Source organism: Homo sapiens, chromosome 20 (genome assembly GCF_000001405.40).
Source record: "Homo sapiens chromosome 20, GRCh38.p14 Primary Assembly".
NCBI classification, from domain to species: Eukaryota; Metazoa; Chordata; class Mammalia; order Primates; family Hominidae; genus Homo; species Homo sapiens.
This window is the reverse complement of record NC_000020.11, coordinates 47,167,843-47,193,708: the sequence shown is the minus strand read 5'-3', so window position 1 is coordinate 47,193,708 and position 25,866 is coordinate 47,167,843. Positions and strand designations below refer to the sequence as shown.

The 25,866-nt window shown below is 48.1% G+C and overlaps 1 protein-coding gene across 5 annotated transcripts in view, besides 1 other annotated feature; it reads right to left on the bottom strand.

Annotated features, from left to right (window-relative positions):
- Window positions 4,865–25,866, bottom strand: part of EYA2 (EYA transcriptional coactivator and phosphatase 2) — a 294,002-nt gene continuing 273,000 nt past the window's right edge. For 4 of the 5 annotated variants that reach the window (NM_005244.5, XM_017027721.3, XM_005260327.3 and 1 more), the window contains 6 exons: window positions 24,512–24,570; window positions 20,842–21,002; window positions 13,797–13,911; window positions 12,773–12,894; window positions 10,318–10,418; window positions 4,865–5,656 (listed from right to left, as the gene is read on the bottom strand). In NM_005244.5, coding sequence (NP_005235.3) covers window positions 5,576–5,656; window positions 10,318–10,418; window positions 12,773–12,894; window positions 13,797–13,911; window positions 20,842–21,002; window positions 24,512–24,570 — 639 coding nt within the window. In that variant the 3' untranslated portion in view covers window positions 4,865–5,575. The remainder of the gene's footprint in view (window positions 5,657–10,317; window positions 10,419–12,772; window positions 12,895–13,796; window positions 13,912–20,841; window positions 21,003–24,511; window positions 24,571–25,866) is intronic. The other variant, NM_172110.4, reaches the window with a different exon arrangement.
- Window positions 12,074–12,368: an enhancer, noted in NCBI's record as "tiled region #12423; HepG2 Activating DNase unmatched - State 4:PromP, and K562 Activating DNase matched - State 5:Enh". NCBI's record gives its function as "activates a minimal TATA promoter and a strong SV40 promoter by Sharpr-MPRA in HepG2 and K562 cells {active_cell/tissue: HepG2 | K562}" and the evidence as "EXISTENCE:reporter gene assay evidence [ECO:0000049][PMID:27701403]".

The window sequence follows — 25,866 nt, the reverse complement described above, 5'->3', positions numbered from 1 at the left end:
GAGACAGGGTCTCACTATGTTGCCCAGGCTGATCTTGAACTCCCGAGCTCAAGTGATCCTTCTGCCTCCGGCTCCCAATGTGTTGGGATTATAGGTGTAAGCCACTGCACTGACATTTTTTTATATTTTATTTTTATTTTTAGAGACAGGGTCTCACTCTGTCATCCAGGCTGGAGTGCAGTGGCATAATCATAAATCACTGCAGCCTGAACTGCTGGGCTTAAGTGAGCCTCCTGCGTCAGCCTCCTGAGTAGCGTGCACTACAGGCGTGTACCACCAGGCCTGGCTAATTTTTTTATTTTTGTTTTTTGTAGAGATGGGGTCTCACTATGTTGCAGTCTGGTATGGAACGCCTGGCCTCAAGCCATCCTCCCACCTTGGCCCCCACAAAGGTCTGGGATTACAGGTGTGAGCCATCATGTCTGGCCTGAGTATTTTTTTATAAGTTTTAAAACCAAATTAGCTGGGTGTGGTGGCTCATGCCTGTAATCCCAGCTACTCCAGAAGTTAAGGTGGGGAGATCGCTTAAGCCCAGGAGTTTGAGGTTACAGTGAGCTATGACTGTGCCACTGCACTCCAGCCTGGGTAACAAGAGTGAGACCCTGTCTAAAAAACAATCAAAACCAGAAAACGCACACACACAAAAATCCCCCAAAACCAAACCAAAACAAAACCAAACACCAAAAACCACCACCAACCAAAAAACAAGAACCAGTTGCATTTTAAAAAATATAAAGTGTTGGCCAGGTGCTGTGGCTCATGCCTGTAATTCCAGCACTTTGGAAGGCTGAGGTGGGCAGATCACCTGAGGTTGGGAGTTCGAGACCAGCCTGGCTAACATGGTGAAACTCTGTCGCTACTAAAAATACAAAATTAGCTGGGCATGGTGGCATGCGCCTGTAATCCCAGCTACTCAGGAGGCTGAGGCAGGAGAATCGCTTGAACCTGGGAGGTGGACATTGTAGTGAGCCGAGATCATGCCATCGCACTCCAGCCTGGGTGACAGAGCAAGACTGTCTCAAAAAAAAAAAAAAAAAAAAAAAAAAGGCTGGGCACGGTGGCTCACATCTGTAATCCCAGCACTTTGGGAGGCTGAGGCGGGTGGATCACGAGGTCAGGAGATCAAGACCATCCTGGCTAACACGGTGAAACCCTGTCTCTACTAAAAAATACAAAAAAATTAGCCGGGCGTGGTGGCAGGCACCTGTAGTCCCAGCTACTCAGGAGGCTGAGGCAGGAGAATGGCACGAACCCGGGAGGCAGAGCTTGCAGTGAGCCGAGATCACACCACTGCACTCCAGCATGGGTGACAGAGCAAGACTCTGTCTCAAAAAAAAAAAAGAAAAAAAAGAAAAAAAAAAAACTAGTAATGCTATTTATTATGTGCTATATCAGTTGGAGCGCTTTTGGCTGCAAGTAACTCAGGAAGAAACAACTCAAAATATTTAAAGGACATTAACTCACATAATACATTTAACCTGATTATCTGTCCTAGGCAGTTATCTTTTAAAAATTAAGCAATGCTTTACTCATGAAAATCTTTGTTGGATTACGTCTTCCACAGCTTCCACTCTAAGAATGTGGATGTTGCCTACAAACGAAGCCAAAGGAGAGGAAACAGAGTCCAGGGATTCAGAGAAATAAATTGAATTTTAAAGATGGGTCTTGAGTTTTGCATTTGAAGGGGTCTGAGGTCACTCATTCTTGAATCTTTTAGTCAAGTGAGCAGATGAATTCTGTTTTGTTTAAGCCATTTTGATAGTGTTTCTGTCATTTGCAATGGAAAAAATCCAAATGGTAGCTCTCTGACTTCTAAATCCCTTGGATATGCAAATTCTTTCATCCTTGAGGTCAACCTGGGCACTTTTGTGGGTCTCTATCCTTCTGCTGGGCTGCTCAGGAAGTTCTGGAGTCAAGGTTGGACTTCTGAGAGTCCAAAAGCTTTTGTATGTGTGTCTTGAATAGTCCTGTTACTCTACTTCTAAGAATGTTCTGGAGAGCAGCAAGACACCGCTGGGGAAACAGTGAAGTCTAGAAGCCTGGGACCATGAAATCCCAGTCATCCATCTATCCATCTATCCACCTAACCACCCATCTGTCCACCTATCATCCATCCATCCACTCATTCACCTATCCATCTATCCATCCATCCATCTACATCCATCCATGCATCCACTCATTCACCCATCCCTCCATCCATCCACCATCCACTAATCCATCCATCCATCCATCTACTATTCACCCATCTCTCCATCCATCCATCCATCCATCCATCCATCCATCCATCCATCCACCACTTATCTACTCATTCACCCATCCAACATTCATTAAGTGGCATATCTGTGCCAGGCTCTGTGATGGGCAATGAGCATACAGAGATGAGAAAAATACTATCCTTACTCAGCAGAAGCTCTGAGTCATCCAGAAGGAATTCAAGTTAAAACACTTACCTTAAAGACTGTGGACTGCTAACTTTTGTCAGAACTAGTCTTTGACATTGACTCATCACAACAAAAAAGTAGTTGATCACCTACGTAGTTTAATTTCAGGGTCAAGGGGAAGATCTGTTTCACCCAAAACCTCCTGTGTGCATGGCTGAAATTCTACTTGTGTTTCTAATGAAATCCTACTAAAAGAAAAAATTTTCTTAATAAGTAATTTACCCTTTGTTGGACCCTAAACAGAATTTTCCCTGACAGCAGGTTTTGATGGTAGCAGGAAGGGAGAGATGGGTAGATCATGATTATAAGTGGGTTCCTGTGTGGCAAGGGTGCTAAAGAATGGGGAGTCAGGGGGATTCAGGAGTATTCACATCACTGACTACCAGTGGATGGTTGGTGACTGGGTGGCTCTACTCTAGTCTCATTATCCACTCCAGCTAGAAGTCAGCTTATCCAGTAAAGCTCCTCCACTCATTCTAGAAGAAACCTAAGCTGACAGATATTAGTGAGGCTGACTCAGGTATTTTAGGCAATGCTAAAGATTCTTCACTTCCATTCCACTCTCTATCCATCTAACCATCACACTTCATTTCCATTTAACTTTCCATCCACCTGCCCATTAAACTGTCCACATATCCATCATAATATTATTATCAACCACCAACAACCATCAATCATTCCATCCATCTACCTGTCCAAACAACCCACTCATTTATCCACTAACTCACCCACCTAACCATCTATCCATATTTCCGTAAAACCACCCAGCCATTCACTCATCCAAACCACCATCTATTCATTCATGTCACCACACAACTACTTGGTTATCGATCTGGTCATCTATCCAATAATCTATCTGTTCGTCCATATACCCATGATTTATCCAACTATCCATCTAGTCATCCCAAGTAGGTATCCATTTATTCATCTATCCATCTTCCAGTCACCCAATTACCCACCCACCTTCCAATTAATCATCTAATCACCTAACCAACCATTCATCTACCCACGTACTCAACTGTTTAACACTCCATTTTATCCATTTGTCCAAATGGCCATTCACCCATATTATCATCCATCTGGCTGTGGTTCCATTCATATTTCCATCCTTCATTCTATGCCATCTATAATGGGATTCTATTTTGTGTCAGGCTCTGTGCTTGATTCTGTGGATATAGAGATGAAACCAACAGTACCTACCCCCTGAGAAGCTCAGGGTCTAGTAAGGGAGTCTATCTGACCCTTAGTGATGCCTTTTTTTTTTTTTTTTTTTTGAGACAGGGTCTTGCTCTGTCACCCAGGCTGGAGTGCAGCAGTGTGAACCTGGCTCACTGCAGCCTCAACCTCCTGGGCTCAAGAGCTCTTCCCACCTCTGCCTCCTGAGTAGTTGTGACTACAGGCGCATGCTATATGCCTAGCTAATTTTTGTATTTTTTGTAAAGACGGGGTTTCACCATGTTGCCCAGGTTGGTCTCAAACTCCTGGGCTCAAGCGACCCACATGCCTTGGCCTCCTAAAGTGTTGGGATTACAGGCATACACCACCATGCCTGGCCGGTGACAGTTTTCTAATCATCAGAGATTCTAGCTCTGAGACTCCAGTGGCAGAGATCTCCATCTCCCATGACATGGGTCAGCTGACTGATAATCCACGATTTTACCAGCATTAATAAGGAAGGAGCCTATATTCCTGCTTAGCATCCAATCAGATAGACCCAGGTCCTGCCTGGTCCACTATGGGTAGTGGCAGTGCTCCAGATGTCTTCAGAACTTCTCCAGATTTCCCTCCTTGCCCCTTAAACTGGATCCTTCACTCATGTCCCATCCACTGGGAAATGAAGTCCTACCATTAGAACGGAAGTCAGTTGCATTTTCCAGCCCGACCCTCAATTCCCCCAATTCTTTGAATAACAGCTCACTGATTTTCTTTCCCTTGGAGGATCAGCTTGTTCAACTTGCTGTTCGTGACAGGATCCAACCCTAAATCCAGCTCCGTGAGTTGCCTAAGCCTCAGATTTGGCCAACGAGTTACAGTCCTGAGGCTTTCGCTGCACCACGGTGAAGAATGTGGTCTCTTTCTGTCTGTGTGGTTTTGCTGAAGGACTCGTAGAGCCGTCTTTGCCACACAGGGAACAGCCTGCCTGAGAATTACGGCCACATGAGAGAAATTCATTTGACCACCCGGATCCAGACAGATACCACCTAAAGTTCCTGGAGACACTTGTCCCTTTGTCCTTCTTCCCCTCCCTTTCTGCCTCCCTCCTTTTCTCCCTCTTCTCCTTCCTCCCTCCCCCCACCCCATTTTTCTTGGCTTAAGCCAGTGTGAGTTGGATTCTATTCTTCTGCAACTGATAAAGTCTTTAAAAAGGACAACACATTTGGAAGCCTCAAGAGTGGTAATAAAGTAACCACATCCTACCCCACTTCAAAATGTAAACGTGGTTTTATTTAATGCCTTTTATCCATCACAAAGCACCCATTCCTTCCCAGCATCCCCCTCTTCCTAGAAAACAAGATGTAGCGTAAGGCACGTGCACTGTCCACATGACGTCAAGTAGGTCTTTAAAAACAAAAATAAGCAATAGTCTTTTCAACAGCTTGAACTGCCTTCCTCTCTAATGTTCAAAGAATGATTGTCCCCACAAAGCACAACTTGGAGAATAGAGTGCTTACATTAGAACTGTGAACCACCCCACATACCAGTTCAAAAAACCAAACCAAACCAACGACTAAGAAACCCAGCCACACAGGTACAAGAGCATAATTCCGGAGTAATGAGACTAGTCCATAAATTAAAAAGAAGACAAGACAAACCCATCCCCTCCTCATCACCAGGCACCCCCCAAATCAGCAATTCCTTGCTTTTGTTCTGTGAGTCTTACAGAAGAGTCTAGACTCCGAGCCAGCCCTTTTCCCCAAAGTCAAATACTCCGAAGCCAATGTTGGGTACTTTCCTTCTCAGAACCCCCATTTGGACTGATGGACGGCTTCTGAGATGGTCACTGGACACGTCGTCTCGGCTGTGGGGCCCCTTCCTGGTGTCCAACATCTGGGTCTCTGGAGTTCTCGGTGGGGAGGTGGGGAAGGCGAGGGGGTCTGAGGGTGAGATGGCAGGTGGAGATGCTGCTGATCCTGCTATAAATACTCCAGCTCCAGGGCGTGCCTCAGTGCCTCCAGGTCTGCGTGGCAGGATATCCGCCAGAAAGGCATGTTGTGCTGAAACACAGAACACCAGCCACAAGGTTATGGCCCCGCCCCTGCCCCCGGGTTCCACGCCTGTGGTTAGAGGGCATGTGAGAAGTCAACCCAGTTAAGTCTAGCACGTGGGGACTTCCCAAACTATGGGGCACTTGATGTTGCTGGCAGACCCACATCTGGCCAGTACCCACCAGTATGGCCAACCATTTCTATTCAGAGCCTGCTCTGACGGGCTTATCCAGCACTGCCCAGCGTGTTCGCTGTTTGACCCTCTCGCCTCTGTTGGTACCAGCGTGGTCTTAGGCGGTGCACTGACATGGTGTTAAATTGCACAATGGGAAAGCGATTCCTTTTTAAAAATTTGTTCTTGCCTGGGCACTGTGGCCCACGTTTGTAATCCCAGCACTTTGGGAGGCTGAGGCGGGAGGATTGCTTGAGGCCGGGAATTGGAGGCTGCAGTGCTCTGAATCCTGTTACTTCAAGAAGAAAGTCACAGCTCGGTGCTGGAACCCCTCCCCAGCATTGACAGTCTCCACTGTGAACAAACAGAGCTGGTCTTGGAGAGTCTTCAGCAGGCCACTGTAGCTAGCCAGGTCAGATGACACTAATCTGTTTTCTTTATAGCTTTCGTTTTTATCTTTTCCTTTTCTTTGCAGCAGGTGGTACCTGCTTCAAGTTATTGTCATGATGTGGAGTTTTTTTTTTCTTTCTTTCTTTCTTTTGAGACAGGCTAGAGTGCAGTGACATGATCTCTGCTCACTGCAGCCTCAACCTCCCAGGCTCAAGCGATCCTCCTACCTTAGCCTCCCGGGTAGCTGGGACAACAGATGCATGCCACCACATCTGGCTAATTTTTGTATTTTTTGTAGAGATAGGGTTTCACCATGGTGACCAGGCTGGTCTCAAACTACTGGGCTCAAGCGATCCACCCACCTCAGCCTCCCAAAGTGTTGGGATTACAGGCATGAGCCATTGTGCCCAGCTGAATTTCGTTTCATTAATTTTTTTTTTTAATTTTAGAGATGGAGTCTCAGTTTGTTGTCCATGCTGGAATGCAGATCATGGCTCACTGCAGCCTTGATCTCTTGGGCTCAACTGATTTTCCTGACTCAGCCTCCTGAGTAGCTAGGGACATATCTAGGTAAATAGGAAAAAGGAAGGATGCAGGACAAATTGTATATATATGTGCATGTATATGGAAGAAAGAATGCTGGCGTTTCTCAGTAGTTTAAAAGATAATAAATAAGACTACCTTAGGAAGAATGTAAAGAAATCATTAAGGCAGGTGTAAATAAAATGTCATGGGAGCCAGCCAGAGGAAGCAGCCTCTTTTTTGGTAGAAGTGAATGGGATGGGGGTGTCTCAGGGGACAAGAAGCGCATGAGACCCAGACCTTGAAGAACGAATGAGGAGGCCGGGCGTGGTGGCTCACGCCTGTAATCCTAGGACTTTGGGAGGCCAAGGCGGGTGGACTACCTGAAATCAGGAATTTGAGACCAGCCTGGCCAACATGGTGAAACCCCATCTCTACTAAAATACAAGAATCAGCTGGGCGTGGTGGTGGCCACCTGTAATCCCAGCTACTTGGGAGGCTGGGGCAGGAGAATCACTTGAACACAGGAGGCAGAGGATGCAGTGAGTTGAGATCATGCCACTGCACTCCAACCTGGGCAACAAGAGTGAAACTTCATCTCAAAAAAAAAAAAAAAAAAAAAAAAAAAAGAATAAGTGCTTCATAGTTAGCAGGTCACTGAAGGGAAGGGCATCCCAGATTGAGAATCCCTCAGTGAGCAAAGGAAGATCTATAAAGATGCCAGGGGCAGACCCCAGTGGGGCCTTCTGTACAGGTCACAAACACTTATGGGGCTTTCATTGGAGGCTCAGATAAACCCACAGATAAGAAATAAACAAGATAAGTTCATCTCCTGGTAAGTGCTAGGAAGGAAACAGAATGAGATAGGGTAGAAAGCAGCTTTGTGTGTCTACTTTTGAGAGCTGGGTCAGGAAAGGCCTCTCCAGGGAGTGTCATTTAAGCAGGCCCTGGCAAAGATGTGGGGGAACGTGGGGGCAGGTAGAAGACACAGCAAGTGCAAAGGCCCCAGGAAGGTTGAGCTTGGAATGCAATGCTCATTGCTGCACCGCATGGCTCTTGACACATAGTAGGTGCTCAAGAAATATTCGTAGAAGGAATGAAAAGAGGAAGAGAGAGAGGGAAAAAAAGAAGGTAAGTTTCTCAAGCAAAGTCCTCTGAATGTATCCTTTTCTCTTTGTTCTGTAGTTTCTAAACAATTCTCAGCTCAAGGGAAGCAGAAAACCATCTCCTATGGGAACAGCTCTCATCTCTTCAACGCCTTCTCACTGCCCTAGCATTCCCACCCTGCCCTCATCCCGGCCAAGCCCTCCTTTCTTTGCAAAGATAGATTCTGGTTGCCACCTGGCCAATCCTGCCCTCTTTAAAGAGTGTAATTTGGCTGAGTGTGGTGGCTCACACCTCTAATCCCAGTACTTTGGGAGGCTGAGGTGGTCGGATCACCTGAGGTCAGGAGTTCGAGACCAGCCTGGCCAACATGGCAAAACCCCGTCTCTATTAAAATTACAAAAAATTAGCCACATGTGGTGGCTCATGCCTGTAATCCCAGCTACTCAGGAGGCTGAGGCACAAGAATCGCTTGAACCTGGGAGGTGGAGGTTGCAGTGAGCCGAGATCATGCTACTGCACTCCAGCCTGGGCGACACAGTGAGATTCTGTCTCAAAAAAAAAAAAAAAAAAAAAAAAAAAAAAAAAAAAAAAAAAGAGTGTGATTCATTTTTCTGGGAGAGAATGAGCAAAGGTGGAAGAAAGAGAATGTTCTAGCCGCCTTTACCCCAGGCTTAAAGGTTCCAGAGTGCCAGTGGATTCATCACTCGTGAAGAGGTGGAGACAAATCACCCACTAAAATGGAGATATTAACAACACTGTCAGCGGAAACAGTCAAGGCCCCTGGTCCTGCGGCCATATTTTACACCGCTCAGATTTCCGGTGGCCTGGGCTAATGACTTCCATTTGTCAGGCTGAGAGAGCTGCTGGTGGACACTGTTTCTCACTAACGTTCTGAGGCTTCTGCCTCAGACACTGGGACTTTTATGGGAGTTCTGTGTGTGGTGGGTGTGTACCTAGTCTTCTTTGGCTGACTCTACTCTTGCCTGACTAGCTCAGGGGTGAAAACCAACCGTGTTTGAAACTCGTAAGTCCGTCTCCTCCCTGCCAGGCGTTTGGAGCATGACACAGGTAGGTTTGCATGTGCTAGATGTGTGACCCTAGGCAAATTAATTAACCTTTCTGAGTCTCAAATTCTGTCATCTATAAAATGGGGTGTGGCCGGGCACATGCCTCTAATCCCAGCTTTCTGGGAGGCCAAGGTGGGCAGATTGTTTGAGTTTACGAGTTTGAGGCCAGCCCAGGCAACATGGCAAAACCCCATCTCTATAAAAAAAAAAATACAAAAAATTAACCAGGTATGGTGGTGCCTGTCCATAGCTCCAGCTACTTAGAGGTGGAAGTGGGAAGATCGCTTGAGTCCAGTAGGTAGAGGCTGCAGTAAGCTGAGATTGTGCCACTGCACTCCAGCCTAGGTGCCAGAGTGAGACCCTATCTCTAAAAAAAAAAAAAAAAAAAAAGGGATGCAATGATACCCACTTTGTAGGAGTTTTTGGAGGATTGAGTACAATGATGATGTTAGCAATAAAGTTACGGTGGTGAAGGGCATGGGGTTAGGTCAGCAACTCAAGATGCCAGCCACAGCCTGGCCACACACCAGTGCGACTGACCCTGGCAGCTGCCCCTCAATATCACTTCTCCCCTTCTCTCTCAGAAGCAGCTCCCATTTCTTAGCGGGGCTCATGGCGGCGGATAATAGAGACTACATCTCCCAGGAAAGGGGAGGAGCCTTCCAGGTGGAGGGAACAGTGCCTGCAAAGCCTTCCAAGCTCCTCTCTCCCGGGGCCCTCTCCCAGGACCCTAGGGCTTCCCTCTTCTTCTGGGTTTCATCTGCTGAGACCCTGAACATTTTTGCATTTCCTTGGGATTTGCTGCCAGGCAGAGATGGGGGAAACCAGGTCCCCCTAATTAAGGTCTGTGACATTAACAATCCACTTCCCAGGCCTCCGGGTTGGGGGTGGCAGCCTCTCTGGGGCGCTGTTGACAGATCCAGACCCAGGACTTTGGCAGCTGTTTCTTTTCCAAGAACAGAGATGTGGCCACCAGAACCCCCTGCCCTCTCCTCACGGGCCCGAGATCACAAATGCAGGATTTTCTTTTTCATTAGCTTAATGCTGTCTTTATTAACTGGGAAGGGTTGCTGGAACATATGATCAGTAAGTATTAAATAAAACACATGCACGTGCACTGGCCCCCCACCAGCCTGCCCTGCCGGAGCGTCTCTAGGCTCCCGAACAGTTGTCCCAGAAACAATCCAGGGCTACCAGGGGCAGCAGCCAGAGGCAGAGAGGGGGATTTGTAGAAGGAAATTACTCAGGATGCTTCTGCAATTTGCAAATGGAATGGACTGGCAAGCAAGGAGCCTGGGAAGGAGGACCCAGCCAGCCACGGGGAGTGGAGGAAATCATGGAAGGAGCCCTTGAAGACCACGAGGGGTGCTCGAAAGAGCAGGAAAACGCAGTCTGAGAGGTGGAAGAAGTACCTTTTTCGCTCCTTGCTCCTCTTCCACACCATCACCGATCACCACGTAGACAGCTTTTCTGCCGAATCTCTGCATTATCCTCTCGAAGCAGCTCTCCTTCCCTGCACGCACACAGGAAGGAAAGAAAAAACGCTCTGTGAGGACCCCGGATTGCAGCCAATACCCGCTCATTAAGAGCTTGGTGCCTGCAGCTGTGCTCCCAAAGGCCCGGTATTCATCATTTCGTTCTTGAGCAAACTTCTGAGGTGAGCCCTGTTATCATCCCCACATGAAGGATGATGACAGCCGGAAACACAGCGAGGGTCAGTAGCTTGCCCAGGGCAACACAGCAGGAGGAGGCAGCGCAGGGGTTAGAGCAGGCTCCCAAGTCTCTGCAGCTGTCCGATGTAGAAGTGGCAATGGATGCACAACCATTTGAATGCACTTGATGCCACTGCGCTGGACACTTTTGTTTCGAGACACAGTCTTGCTCTGTCACCCAGGCTGGAGTGCAGTGGTGCCATCTCGGCTCACTGAAACCTCCACTTTCTGGGTTCAAGCCATTCTCCTGCCTCGGCCTCCTGAGTAACTGGGACTGTAGGCACGCATCACCACACCTGGCTAATTTTTGTATTTTTTAGTAGAGATGGGGCTTCACCATGTTGGCCAGGCTGGTCTCGAACTCCTGGCCTCAAGTGATCTGCTCACCTCAGTGTCTCAAAGTACTGGGATTACAGGCGTGAGCCACTGCACCCAGCCATCTTAACCTTTTTTTTTTTTTTTTAGACGGAGTCTCGTTCTTGTTGCCCAGGCTGGAGTGCAATGGCCTGGTCTCGGCTCACTGCAACCTCTGCCTCCTGGGTTCAAGCGACTCTCCTACCTCAGCCTTCCAAGTACCTGGGATTACAGGTACCCGCCACCATGCCCTGCTAATTTTTTTATTTTTAGTACAGATGAGTTTTCACTATGTCGGTCAGGCTGGTCTTGAACTGCCTGACTTCAGGCAGTCCACCTGCCTCGTCCTCCCAAAGTGCTGGGATTACAGGCGTGAGCCACCGCGCCTGACCCATCTTAACCATTTTTAAGCGTATAGTGCATGGCCAGGTGCGGTGGTTCATGCCTGTAATCCCAGCATTTTGGGAGGCCGAGGCAGATGGATCACCTGAGGTCAGGAGTTCAAGACTAGCCTGGCCAACAAGGTGAAACCCCGTCTCTACTAAAAATACAAAATTAGCTCGGTGTAGTGGTGCACGCCTGTAGTCTTTGCTACTCAGGAGGCTGAGGCAGGAGAACTGCTTGAACCCAGGAGGCGGAGGTTGTAGTGAGCCGAGATTGCACCACTGCCCTCCAGCCTGGGCAACAAGAGAGAAACTCCATCTTAAAAAAAAGAAAAAAGGTTAAGATGGTGAAAATTTTACATTATTTAATTTTACCACAATTAAAAATAAAAATATTATTTAAAAAAGAGATTCGAAATAAACCTGCAAAGGTACTTGAGGTATGCAGGAAAAATGGGAAAAATGAAAAGACAGGATCTTGTTGAAAAATCTTCAACAACCATTTTGGCCCCTACTACTATAATTTTAAAATCAAAAGGCACTTTCATATAATGTTTGGACGTAGAACTTCAGTAAAACCAAAATTGCTCCAAGAAAATGCTGCCAAAGTACTATAAATTATTTATTTTTTTTATTTTTTGCTCTAGAGAAAAAACAATGGAAAAGGTTTCTAATTAAAAATATTTTGGCACGGTGGCTCATGCCTGTAGTCCCAGTACTTTGGGGGCTGAGGTGGAAGGATTGCTTGAGGCTGGGAGTTTGAGGCTGTAGTGAGCTATGATCTCGCCACTGCATTCCAGATTGAGTGACAGTATGAATCACTCAGCTATGGACTACATTTCCCAGCTTCCCTGGCAGCTACTTGTGGCCACGTGACTAAGCTGGGGCTAACAGGAAGTGAGTAGAATGTAATGTACATAGCCTTCTGAGCTTGGCCTTCAAATACCAGACCTGCTAGAATGAGGATGGGCTAGGACTCTGATTTGACCCCATACATGAGAATAAAACCATAAGAAATGGTGGAAAAATAAAACGGGAGAGACCTGGGTTTCTGGATGTCTCTGAGGACAGGGTCACCCCACCAGCCTGGATCACTCACCTCTGTCTGTTCTACTAGGGAGAAATCAGCTTTGACTCTTTTGCAAGCCCTTGCATTTGGGGTGTGTTTGTTACAGCAGCTTTGCCTGTATCTGAACTCATACAGACACTTTGGAAAACTGTGGTCCTAACCAATTTCTTTAGAAGCAGAGGTTAAGGCATGTGGTCTATGGGGGCTGTTTTGGGAATCTGAGTCATGGCCATAGGCACACTCCATCCATTTCTGTGGTGTCATGTTCCTTAAACACCCCATTCCCAGGATGGAAAGCTAACCCCACCCTCCAACCCTGTATCCCCGCCGAGGTGTGGCTTCTCCCTACCTGTCTTGGTTGCACTGTAGATGTTCTCAATAGGAAACACAGACCCCAGGCCATATAGCAGGACTTTGGCCAGGGCAGGAATTAGTTGAGTGGTGGTGACCAGCACATTGACACAGTTGGGCCTAAGGACAAAGGAGACTGTGGATCAGAACTCAGAGGGACCACAAGGCCAGGCCTCCTCTTGCTGCATGAGCCTGCAGTTGGCGGGAAATCTGGTAGGCTTGGAGGCTATGGCTGTCATCTTCAGGTATGTTAGGGCCCAAGGATTCTCAGGCTGTTCCTCTCTTTTAAGCCTGAAGCTGCCTGACATAGTGAAATGTAGTATGGGGGGAATACTTTTCTTATATAAAAAGCAAATGTTTATTGCAAGGGCCATACACTTAAATAGTTGCGGGTAATGTAAATGAGTGATATGGAACAAGTGTAGGACAAGAGGGAGAGGTGGGGAATAGAGTAAGCTGGAGCCTGCATGCCAGTTCTCATCTTTTGGGAGAATCCAGAAACCTGGAAACCTGTTGGGCCCTGAAAAGTCTCTGCCGCTATTAGCTCAGCTATGCTCCAAGGTATCCACTGAGCCTTGTGCACTTAAGCTTTATTAAATATTTGGGCTGGGAGTGGTGGCTCACACCTGCAATCCCAGTACTTTGGGAGGCCGAGGCGGGTGGATCACCTGAGGTCAGGAGTTCGAGACAAGCCTGGCCAACATGGTGAAACCCCATCTCTACTAAATACAAAAATTAGCTAGGTGTGGTGGTGCACACCTGCAATCCCAGCTACTCAGGAGGCTGAGGCCGGAGAATTGCTTGAACCTGGGAGGGAGAGGTTGTGATGAGCCGAGATCACGCTACTGCACTCCAGCCTGGGCGACAGAGTGAGACTCCATATCAAAAAAAAAAAATATTTGGAAAGTGTACAAGTGAGAGTTTGAGGAGTCCAATTCTCCCAAGTGTGGACATGCAGGAGCCACCACTGTCTACTGCGAGAAAGTTCAGTGGCACAGAGGAAAATGAGGGCTGCCACTTGCCGGGAGTTGATGAGGTTTAGTGCCTTCAGGGAGTGGGTCAGCCAGAGGTCTGTGAGAGCTTCCAGCTCAGCTCGGAGCTGTAGCCAGGTCTCCCTTTTGGGAGTGCCTATCAACCCTGTGGACAAAGGAAATAAAGATGTAGTCATCGTATTAGAAAGATCTGGGGGATGAAGGTAGGGAACAGGAATCTAGCTACTGTACCCTGAGGGTTAAAATCAGATGACAACCCAAAGTAAACTTCAATCCAGTGGCTTCTCTCAATCTTATCCTGAGATCAACAGATTGATAGATTAATCCATCCACTGACTGATTCACCCATCCACCCATCCACCCTTCCATTCATCCATCCATCCATCCACCCACCTATCCACCCATCTATCTACCTACCCACCTATCCACCCATCCATCCACCCAATATCCATCCATCCACCCATCCATCCATCTGCCCAATATCCATCCATCCATCCACCCACCCACCTATCCACCCATCCATCCACCCAATATCCATCCATCCACCCATCCATCCATCCACCCAATATCCAACCATCCATCTATCCACCCACCCACCCATCAATCTACCCACACACCCACCCACCCATCAGTCTACCCACCCACCCATCCACCCATCCACCCACACACCCATCCACCCATCTACCCACCCACCTATCCACCCAACCACCCATCTACCCCATATCCATCCATCCATGCATCCAACAAAAAATTCAGGAGTACCTTCTAAGTACTTGATATTGTAATAGGCACTGAATGTACAGATATGAACAAAAATATGCAGATTATAGAGCTTATATTGTTATGGTGGAGACAGGGAATTAATAATAACATAAAAAATGATGAACATTTTTGAGTGCTTATGTGCAGGGCTCTGCTTTTAACATGATTTATTTCATTCTCACAATGACCATAGAGGTGGACACCATTTTTATTTCTATATTTTTAGGTAAAGAAACAGGCTTTGTGATGTTGACTGACTTGCTCACCATAGGGAGAAAATAATAGACACCTATCCACCCATCCATCCACCTACCCACGTATCTACCCATCCATCCACCCAATATCCATCCATCCACCCACCCACCCATCCACCCATCTACCCACCCACCCATCCACCCATCCACCTATCTACCCCCACATTCATCCATCCATGCATCCAACAAAAAATTCAGGAGTGCCTTCTAGGTGCTTGATATTGTAATAGGCACTGAATGCACAGATATGAACAAAAATGGACACAGGTCCGGCACCCAGGCAGCTGGCTTCCAGAGCTACCCTGGGTATTTCTCAACCTGCCATTCTCTCAGCCTTCAGTAGCTTTAAGATAAAGTTCAAAACCCCCAGCAGCATGATCCTGTCCCTACTGAGTTTCATCTCCTGCCGCTGTCTTTCCATTCCAGCCTGGAGGCCTCGTTTGTTCCCTGAAACACCAAGTGGACTCCTGCCCCAGGACCTTTGCACACCTCATTTCAGAACATGGACCACTCTTTTATCTCATCTTCTGCTTTTGCCTGGCTAAATCCTTCACACTCTGCATTTGGGCCTTGTCTTTTTTTTTTTTTTTTGAGACAAGATCTTGCTCTGTCACCCAGGCTGGAGTGCAGTGGTGTGATCAAGGCTCACTGCAGCCTCAGTCTCCCAGGTTCAAGCAATCCTGCAATCCTTCCACCTTAGCCTCCTGAGTAGCTGGAACTACAGATGCCTGCCACCATGTCCGGCTAAATTTTGTATTTTTCATAGAGGTGGGGTCTTGCTATGTTGCCCAAACTGGTCTTGAACTCCTGGCCTCAAGCAATCCTGCCTTGGCCTCCCAAAGTGCTGGAATTACAGGTGTGAACCTCTGCATCCTGCCTTACGGCCTCATCTTAAATGTCATTTGTTCTGGAAGGTCTAACCTGATCTCTCCAGGCTGGGTCAGGTCCCTTTAGTTTATATTCTCCCAACACACTGTAGCTCTTCTTCACAGCACTTCTCACAACTCTAATTTTAAGTGTATCTGTGTGACGATGTGTTTGGCATCTGCCTTGGCCATTAGGCTATTCACTCTAGGGCAGAGGGCAGGGACCAAGTCAGTCTTGTTCGCCATCATAGCAGCAGTTTCTGTAGCAGGGGCTGGCCTGTGCTTGATGCTCAATCAGTATTTGTTGAAGGAAGAATGAATTAATTAGGACAAAATGCTGCCTGTGCTATGGAGACATCGTCTTCTCTACATAGAAGAGCCCAGTGTCCAAACTGGGCCTTATGTCATCTGGACACCGCCAGCTCTCTCATCCTGTCCTGGACCACGTGCCCCCTCACTCCAGCTATTCAGCTATGCTGGCCTTCTTTATCTTTCTGAAAAGTGTCAAACTCTTTTTGTCTCAGAGACTTTTCATTTGCTGTTTGTGGTAGACACTTAGTTGCCATCCACTATCCATTTTTTTCACTTGTAATTAGTAAAAATATAAATACAAAAGGATCTTCTCATTAGTAATAAGAATCCTGATTTTGGCTGGGTGAGGTGGCCCACGCCTGTAACCCCAGCACTTTGGGAGGCTGAGGTGGGAGGATCGCTTGAGCCAGGGGTTTGAGACCAGCCTGGGCAAGACAGGAAGGCCCCATCTTTACAAAAAATTTAAAAATTAGCCAGGCATGGTGGCATGTGCCTGTGGTCCCAGCTATTCTGAAGGCTGAGGTGGGAGGATCACTTGAGCCTAGGAGGTCGAGGGTGCAGTGAGCCGAGATCATGCCACTGCACTCCAGCCTGAGAAACAGAGTGAGACCCAGTCTCAATAAATAAATAAATAAATACAAAGATAGAAGGGGCCAGGCAGGGTGGCTCATGCCTGTAATCCCAGCACTTTTGGAGGCCGAGGCGGGCAGATCATCTGAGGTCAGGAGTTCGAGATCAGCCTGGCCAACGTGGTGAAATCCCGTCTCTATCTCTACTAAAAATACAAAAATTAGCCGGGTGTGGTGGCAGGCGCCTGTATTCCCAGCTACTTGGGAGGCTGAGGCAGGAGAATTGCTTGAACTCGGGAGGCGGAGGTTGCAGTGAGCCGAGATTGTGCCACTATACTCCAGCCTAGGTGGCAGAGTGAGACTCTGTCTCAAAAAAAAAAAAAGAAAGAAGGATCCTGGGATCCTGGGCTCATAACACTGTAGAGTACTTGGCCAGCTTGGAATGCCTACAGCTTTTGTATATAAGAAAAAAAATACATTTCTATCTGGTTTAAGCCATTGTTGTTTTTTGTGTTATTTTTTGGTTGGTTGTTCTTTTACTTATGCAGTTGAATGTAGCTGAACTGATTGACTCTTTGCTTGTATTGGTCATTCCCCAGCTCTGGGCATCTGGTTATCATTATTAGAATCTCATCTAGAATATTTAGAATACTGAGTTCAAATAGCCCTTCCTGAGAGATGGACTCTGGGTCTACTATTCCAAGTATCCCCTGGCCACCACTGCCCACGCTGGGCTCTCTGCCATATCTGTTTCTTCAATAGGTGTGATCATCCTCGAAATGACTGAATTAAGAATTTAAAGCCGGGCATGGTGGCTCATACCTGTAATCCCAGTACTTTGGGAGGCTGAGACGGGTGGATCACCTGAGCTCAGGAGTTCAAGACCAGCCTGGCCAACATGGTGAAACCTCATCTCTATTAAAAATACAAAAATTAGCCGGGCATGGTGGCATGTGCCTGTAATCCCAGCTACTCGGGAGGCTGAGGCAGGAGAGTCACTTGAACCTGGGAGGTAGAGGTTGCAGTGAGCCGAGATCATGCCACTGTATTCCAGCCTGGGTGACAGAGCAAGACTCCATCTCAAAAAAAAAAAAAAAAAAAAAGAATTTAAGTGATTTGCTCACTTGTTGATGGTCTGTTTCCTCCACTCACTGAATATAAACTCTTTGAAAACAGGGACCTTGTTTCTTTTGTTCACTGCTGAATCCACAACCTAGGCCTTTGACGATGGACACGTGGAAGAATGAATGAATGAATGAATCTTCTTACTGCTACATGTCCCATCTTCTCATTAGTCTATCAACTCTAGGAGAACACACGGCCTCTGGTTTTCCTCTGTCTCTGCACCTTCCCCACAGACCCTTAGCTGGAACCCTCAGTAACAATACAAACTCACAAGGCTCAGCACTTTTCAGTTGACAAAGGGCTTCCCAACGTGCTGTCTTGTGTAGCTGGCTGCCCAACCACCCCTACTTTGCTCCACGCTGGGAAGTGTGCTTCAAGCTGTTTCCTCGGCGTTTTCCTCCAGGCTTGGCCTCCTTCCCACCTTCCCCAGATAACAAAAGTGCCACTTAATGAGAGCTTATGTGTGTCAGATGCCGTTCTGAGCACCTTTCCTGTGTGAATTCACAACATCCTGGCATGAATCCTTGTGTATATTGTGTATATTGCAGACACTATTAGCCATCTACCAATGATGCTGGGCAGCATCACTGGCCCCATTTTGCACACGAGGAGGAAACTGAGGCACAGGGAGGTCAAATAACCTGCTCAGAGCTACATGGGAAGTGGTAGATGGAAGGATGACATCAGGCTAAGGCCCCTGATTTCAACCCCTGCCTCCTAGATGGTGATTTACTAAGCATTTTCTCTATTCTGTATTTTGCAGATGCCTTTCTTCCGAGTGTACCTTCTAAAACACTTGGAATCGTGGGGATCTGTGGTGATCCCTGGGCTGGAAGCCACGGCCATGCACCTGGCTAGTTCTGTGATGCAGGAACAGCTGGGTTGGGGAAGGAGACCGGCATGCCGCTGGCTGTGGGCTCCTCACTGGCTGACGCCTTGGGTGCTCTCCCCTCAGCTATGGGTGAGCAGAGCAGCCTGACAAAGCCCTGGCATTTCCTGGGCCTTAACCTGGATGGGGAACAGATGCTCTCTGGCGGCCAACCCCATCCCTGTCTCACCTGAGTCAGCCCTCCTGCTCCCCTCCTCCCTCCGTGCAGGGCTGGGTACAAAGGCTGGGACCTGACCAGAGCTTGCTGCTTCACTCCTGCAATCAACACACTCACATCTGAGAGGCCACCAAGTGTGGCCCTGAAGGGCAGAGGTGGTGCAGTCACCCAGCCTGGGACTCCACTGTGGCCCTTCTGCCTGGGCTGTGTGACGCTGGGCAGGTTACTTAACCTCCGTCATCTCAGTTTCTGCTTTCAAGCAACACCGTTGATAAAAACATTTACCTTACAGGCATGCTGTGAAGAGTGAAGGAGCTAGTCCATGAAAACGGTGGCAAAACTGGCAGAGCGAGTGCTCCTTAAACATTAGCTACTGCCAGGACCGCGCTTAGCACGTGGGCTGCATTAGCACCGCAGCCATGAACACGACGGGAAGTCTGTCCCAAAGAACGGATGGGAAAGCTCCAGGGACAGTAGAAGACGCAGGGGAACCCGAGGCTCCCAAGCAAAACTGAGAGCAACTCGTGACAAATGCCACCATTTATTGAGTTCCCGCTGTGTATCAGGCATGGAGTCATGCCTTTTGTATGCACTAACAATAAATCTCTCAATAATCCAGGGAAGCAGAAGTATTTGTATTCTCCATTTCATAGATTTAAAGACTAAGGCTCATTAAGATGACCGTATGTATGTTGCCTAAGGCCACATAGCTAGAAAGTTGTAGAGCTGCGACTGGAAGTGTGTTCTGTCCAGTTTGAGAACCGGGACTCTATTCTTTCTAGGAATGGAGGGAGGGGGCCCTAGAAGTTTTTGGGGCCAATGTGTATATTGCAGACACTATTAGCCACCTACTCAAACCCTGCCCTTATGGGCCAGTGGTTGGTTCCAGGCACTGTGGCAACCAGGAAGACTCCCAGATGTCTCCTGAGGAGGGCGCAGTACCACCCCTAGTTAAAAACCTCTGTTCTAGAGAACTCCAGAATTCTCTAGACTACGGCTGAGCCAGCCTCGCCTTCAGTGCCTTCAGACTTCTTGTTTGGGGCAATGAGCAAATGTTCCTAGTACCTGAAGCCAGGGGGCGGGTCTCTCCTTGGCTGCACTTAGAATTCCCCAGGGATCTTTATGACTCCTGATGTCCAGGCTGCAGTGATACCAAGACCACCAGCAACTGAAACTCCCTGGGTGGTTCCAATGAGAGCCACGTGTGAGAACCAGTGACTTCTAGGGCTTCTTCAACTTTAATGCCTCCACAGTCACCTGGCGGGCTTGTCAAAAATGCAGATTCTGGGCCAGGCAGGTGGTGCATGCCTCTAATCCCAGCTACTTGGGAGGCTGAGGTGGGAAGATCACTTGAGGCCAGAAGTAGTTTGAGACCAGCCTGGGCAGCATAGCAAGACCTTGTCTCAAAAATAAAAAAAAATTTTTTAAAGCAGATTCTGAGTCAGTTGCCCAGGATGAGGCCTGAGACCCTGCACGTTTTTTTTTTTTTTTTTTTTTTTACGGGGTCTCACTTTGTTGCCCAGGCTGGGGTGCAGTGGTGTAATCTTGGGTCACTGCAGACTCTGCCTGCTGGTGACCCTGCACTTCTAACCAGCTCCGGGGGATGCTGATGTGGTTGGTCTGCGGACAACAATCTGAGATGCAAAGACTCAAGGCACAGGTCCTCCCGATTCCAGGGGGATTCTGGAATTCCAGAATCCAAGGGGGGATTCCAGGGCTGTGAAAACACAGATTCTGGGCCCCAGCGCAGAGTTTCAGATTTGCTAGGCCTGAGGTAGGGCCAGAGAATCTGCATTTTCAACACATCCCCAGGTGATGCTGTCGCTGCTACTTGGAGGACCACACTGTGAGAGCCTCTGGCTGTGGGTAAGAGAATTCCGCCCCCACGTCCACCCCGCGCCATTTGTGGCCTGAAGGATCTTGGACCAGATGCAGCCTCCGTCCCTCAGCTTTCCCACCCCCAAAGTGAAGGTGACAAAATCCCAGTGCTCTATTCCGAAGGGTGTCGTCAGGGTTGCATTAAGTGGGCTGGTACTGAACTTGTGAACCTCTCTGCCTGGCGCCTGGCACAGCAGGGACACTGACAGCATCCATCCCAATGAGTTTCCCTTCCTCGGAGGCCCAAGGCTCACAGTACTCACCACCAACGTTGTTCTTGTAGGTATTGTACATCTCCTTCACCCGCCGGTAGCGGAAGGCCAGCTTCCTCATCCAGTCCACGCCGCCGTGCACGCCAGAGCCCAGGCACAGGTTGGCTCCTGGGGCCGAACTGTGGAAGCCGTCAGCGGAGAAGTTGTATGTGCTGCGGAGAGAGGAGGGGAGGGACAGTGTTAGTGCAGGGGGGTGCAGGGCATCTTCCCTGGGAGACCACAGGCTCTGTGGGACCCACGGGTGGGCTTTTGGGTGTCCATGAGCCCCTCGAAATGCACAGGGTGCTGCGAGTGTGCATTTGGGGGGCAGCAGGACCACAGCTTTCATTAGCTTCCCCAAGAAAAGTGGTGTCTTTTGCTCTTACCTGATCCACATCCATTTGCCTTTCATTTATTTTTTAATTTTTATTTTTTTGAGACAGGGTCTTGCGCTGTTGCCCAGGTTGGAGTGCAGTGGTGTCATCACAGCTCATGGCAGCCTCAACCTCCCAGCTCAAGGGATCCTTTTACCTCAGCCTTCCGAGGAGCTGGGCCCACAGGCTCCTCGTGTGTGCGCCACCACACTTGGCTAACTTATTTTTATTTTTTGGAGAGATGGAGTCTCTCTATGTTGCCTGGGCTGTTCTTGAACTCCTGGGCTCAAGGGATCCTCCTACCTTGGCTTCCCAAAGTGCTGGGATTATAGGCATGCACCACCGTGCCTCGTCCCTTATTTTGACTTTTTATTTTTTTATTTTTTTTATTTTTTTTTATTTATTTTGAGATGGAGTCTTGCTCTGTTGCCCAGGCTGGAGTGCAAAGGCATGATCTCGGCTCACTGCAACCTCTGCCTCCCAGGTTCAAGTGATTCTCCTGCCTCAGCCTCCCCCTCCCAAGTAGCTGGGATTACAGGTGCCCTCCACCACACCCAGGTAATTTTTTGTATTTTTAGTAGAGACAGGGTTTCACCATGTTGGCCAGGCTGGTCTTGCACTCCGGACCTCAAGTGATCCACCCGCCTTGGGCTCCCAAAGTGCTGGGATTACAGGCGTGAGCCACTGTGCCCGGCCATAGATTTATTCTTGAAAAAGTGAACGCTCACCATTAACTCAGATGCTACCATGGGGAGATGTCTAGATGTTAGGAGATGGAGGCCCTTGGGGAGGGCAGGAACCAGTGTCCAGGATGGACAGAGGATCTGTTAAGAGCTTGGGTCCCAGAGCCAGGCTGCCTGGATTTGAATCCTGCCTTCCCTGCTGACCAGCCATGTGAGTTTGGGCCAATTGCTCAATCTCTCTATGCCTCACATTCCCCAGCTGAAAAATGAGGATGAGGATAAAAGCATCTCTCTCTCCTAGGGTTACTGTGGATATGCAATGAGTTATCCCATGTAATGCATTTAGAATAGAACATGGCACAAAACGAGGCATCTCTGAAGGTTGGTTCTTACTGCTAACTGAAAAAAACAAAACAAAACAAAACAAAACAAAAAAACAAACAAGAGGCATTTCATGTTTGGGACCTAGCATATAGTAGGTACTCCATAAATATTTCTTGAATGAATAAGTGGAGAATTTGGTCTCTAAGGAAGAAAACACCCTTGGGCTGAGAATTCTCAAAGTGAGGTACCAAACAGCTCAGCATGAGACAGGGTTCAGAGGACTGTTGCTCTCAATTCCAAGCCAGCTAGCTACAGGGGAAACTATAGAAACAGAACGGTGCTGCTCACTGCCTTGAAAGGAAGAGTGCTTCCCAACGATGACTTCATGGAAAGGACCAATTAACCTTGATCTGGGGTTTATTTACTCCATCAGGTGAGAAGTCCTGGTGGGGCTGGAGCTTTGCTCCTTGCCAGTCCTGATTGCAGAAGGGATTTTCCGAATGGCTGATTAAAATGAAGCAGGCATCTGCCGGCTGATCACTTCCGATTGTGCCGGGCTTTGAAAAGACTTGCAGGGCTCAGGAACAGAAATTTTGATTTTTGTTTTTGCAGTAAGTTGGGAGAGACACCTTGGAAGCAGCTACTAAATAAAGTTACAATGACTGATCCCGTAACCAAAACATTAGTTGGTCTAATAATATATCTGATGAGCCTAAAGCCGTTGAATTGTGGTAATTTTGGATGAGCACAGATTAACTATGGTTCCATTTTTACAAAGTTTTCCCAGGGGCAGGCTTGGAACATTCCAGCCCACATTCCTCTGGAAGCTGTCTCTCTTTTTTTTTTTTTTTTGAGACGGAGTCTCGCTCTGTACCCCAGGCTGGAGTGCAGTGGCACGATCTCGGCTCGCTGCAACCTCCGCCTCCTGGGTTCAAGCAATTCTCCTGCCTCAGCCTCCCAAGTAGCTGGGATTACAGGCGCCCGCCACCACGCCCGGCTAATTTTTGTATTTTTAGTAGAGATGGGGTTTCACTGTGTTGGCCAGGCTGGTCTCGAACTCCTGACCTCAGGTGATCCTTGCGCCTTGGCCTCCCAAAGTGCTGGGATTACAGGCGTGAGCCACCACACCCGGCCTGAAGGTGTCTCATATTAAGCAATGGGTTACCTGATTCCTGGAAGCCATGTCCTGGGAGTGTTTTCCCCTAGAAACCAGACACACCACTTATTCATTTGAGAAGTGTTTCTTAAGTATTGGCTGTATCAATTGTTATATTAAAAATATATGCATGCTGGTCGGGTGCGGTGGCTCACGCCTGTAACCCCAGCACTCTGGGAGGCTGAGGTGGGTAGATCACTTGAGGTTAGGAGTTTGAGACCAGCCTGGCCAATATGGTGAAACCCCGCCTCTACTAAAAAAACAAAAAAATTAGCTGGGTGTGGTGGTGCATGACTGTAATCCCAGCTACTCAGGAGGCTGAGGCAGGAGAATTGCTTGAGCCTGGGAGGTGGAGGTTGCAGTGAGCTGAGATCACACCATTGCACTCCAGCCTGGGTGACAAGAGTGAAAGTCAGCCTCAAAAAAAAGAAAAAGAAAAAAATATATATATGTATGCTAATGAATACAACCAAATATTTGGAGGCAGCTGCCTCCTTACGAAGACTGCTGGAGGAGGAGAAGCACGTGAAACTCTGAGCTTGACTACTGAGAAAAAATTGGTTATAACATCTCCGGACCCTTGATTGGAGGAGAGAAGCTGAAAGAAAGGGTATTTTCAACATTTTGAGCAGATCTTTGAAGAATATATACTAAACTCTTAATGGTGGTGAGTTTGGGAGGTGAGGTCAGGTTAAGTGTTTGAATTTTTTCTGTTATGCATGCATTACTTCAGTAAGCAGGAAAAAAATAGCAATAAATGAGCAGAGTTTAGTGATTTGAGGTGATGAGCAAGAGACTGTAGGGTTGAGGGGTGAGGTTGTGATTTTTTAAACAAATTTTTACTCATTTATTTATTATAGTAGAGATGGGGGTCTCACTATGTTGCTCAGGCTGGTTTTGAACTCCTGAGCTCAAGTGATCCTCCTGCTAAGACCTCCCAAAGTGCTGGGATTACAAGTATGAGCCACCACACCCGCCTAGTTGTGATTTTTGAGTCTGAGATGCAAAAGTCCCAGTTCTGGCTGGAGGCAGGCACTCCTTGTCCTTATAAGCAGCCCTCCTCTCCCACCCCACTTCCTAGTAGAAGGATAACTTGATAATCAATCAATCAATCAATGGGCATTTTTGACTCCCCAAATTCCCACCTTAAATCTTGGCCATTGTCATCTGATGAGACGTCATCAACGTGGATCTGGTCACAATCCTATGGAAAATTTGACAGAGAGAGAGAGAGAGAGAGAACATGCCTGGTTAATCTGATGTAGCCTTCAAGGGTTGGCCTCATAAGCTGAGGGCTGGGATGAGCACTGCACTGGGAGTCATCAGGCTCGGGTTCTAGTCTGGATTTGGATACTCAAGGTTAGAGGTCCTTGGGTTCAATCTCATCCTCTTTGTCTGTTTGGTTTCCTTATAAATGAGCAGGTTGACTGCAAGGAAAGTGACCATACAGATACTCTCCAAACAGAGAGAGTTTTGCATTAAAGGGGGATGGTATTATACTAGGGGGATAGGTTCAAACCAGGACTCCCCTAGGTCCCCAGCTTCCCAAGTATGGCCAGACATTTGGTCACCCTGGCCATATGGTGGACACCTCTGCCTCGCTAAAGGTGTTCCCCCTGCTTGAAATGCTCTCCTGCCTACATCTGCTTAGTAAACCCTGTGCTCTTCAAGTATTGGCTCCTGGAGGGACACCTGCTGTGCCTCATGATCTGTGATCATCATTTACTGAGCACTTACTATGTGCCAGGCACTATCCCCAGGGCTTGCCATTGAACAAACTCCAATGCCATGCTGTTTCCCACTCAGTTTCCTTGGGGAAACACCTCTCTCTGTGGGACAAGACCATGGGGTGGAGGCTGGGCATGGTGGCTCATGCCTGTAATCCTAGCACTGTGGGAGACAGGCGGGTGGATTGTTTGAGGTCAGGAGTTTGAGACCAGCCTGGCCAACATGATGAAACCCTGTCTCTACTAAAATACACAAATTAGCTGGGCGTGGTGGCAGCTGCCTGTAATCCCAGCTACTCGGGAGGCTGAGGCAGGAGAACTGCTTGAACCCAGCAAGTGGAGGTTGTAGTGAGCCGAGATCGCGCCACTGTGCTCCAGCCTGCATGACAGAGCAAGACTCTGTCTCAAAAAAAACAAAAAAACAAAAAAACAAAAGACTACGGGGTGGGGACAATGAAAACCAATCAGAGGGACCCAAGGTCCCCCTGGCCACAGTGATTGCTTCAAGGATGAACATGTGGTCTAAGGTGGGCCAATGGGAACCAGCCCGGGGACGTTGGCTGGCACTTTTGGAAGAGGTGCTGTCTCTTCCCTGGGGCTGCTGAATGGTGGATTAAGCCGGGAGCTGCTGAGGAAAGCAGGGCTGCGAGCTGGAGAGGGGGATGCCATGAGCATGCGATCTGATCCCCTGGATCCAGTCAGGACTGAAGCTGAGCCATCCCTGACTGTGCTGGGCCGAATAACGAACCCCCAAAGATGCGCACATTCTTATC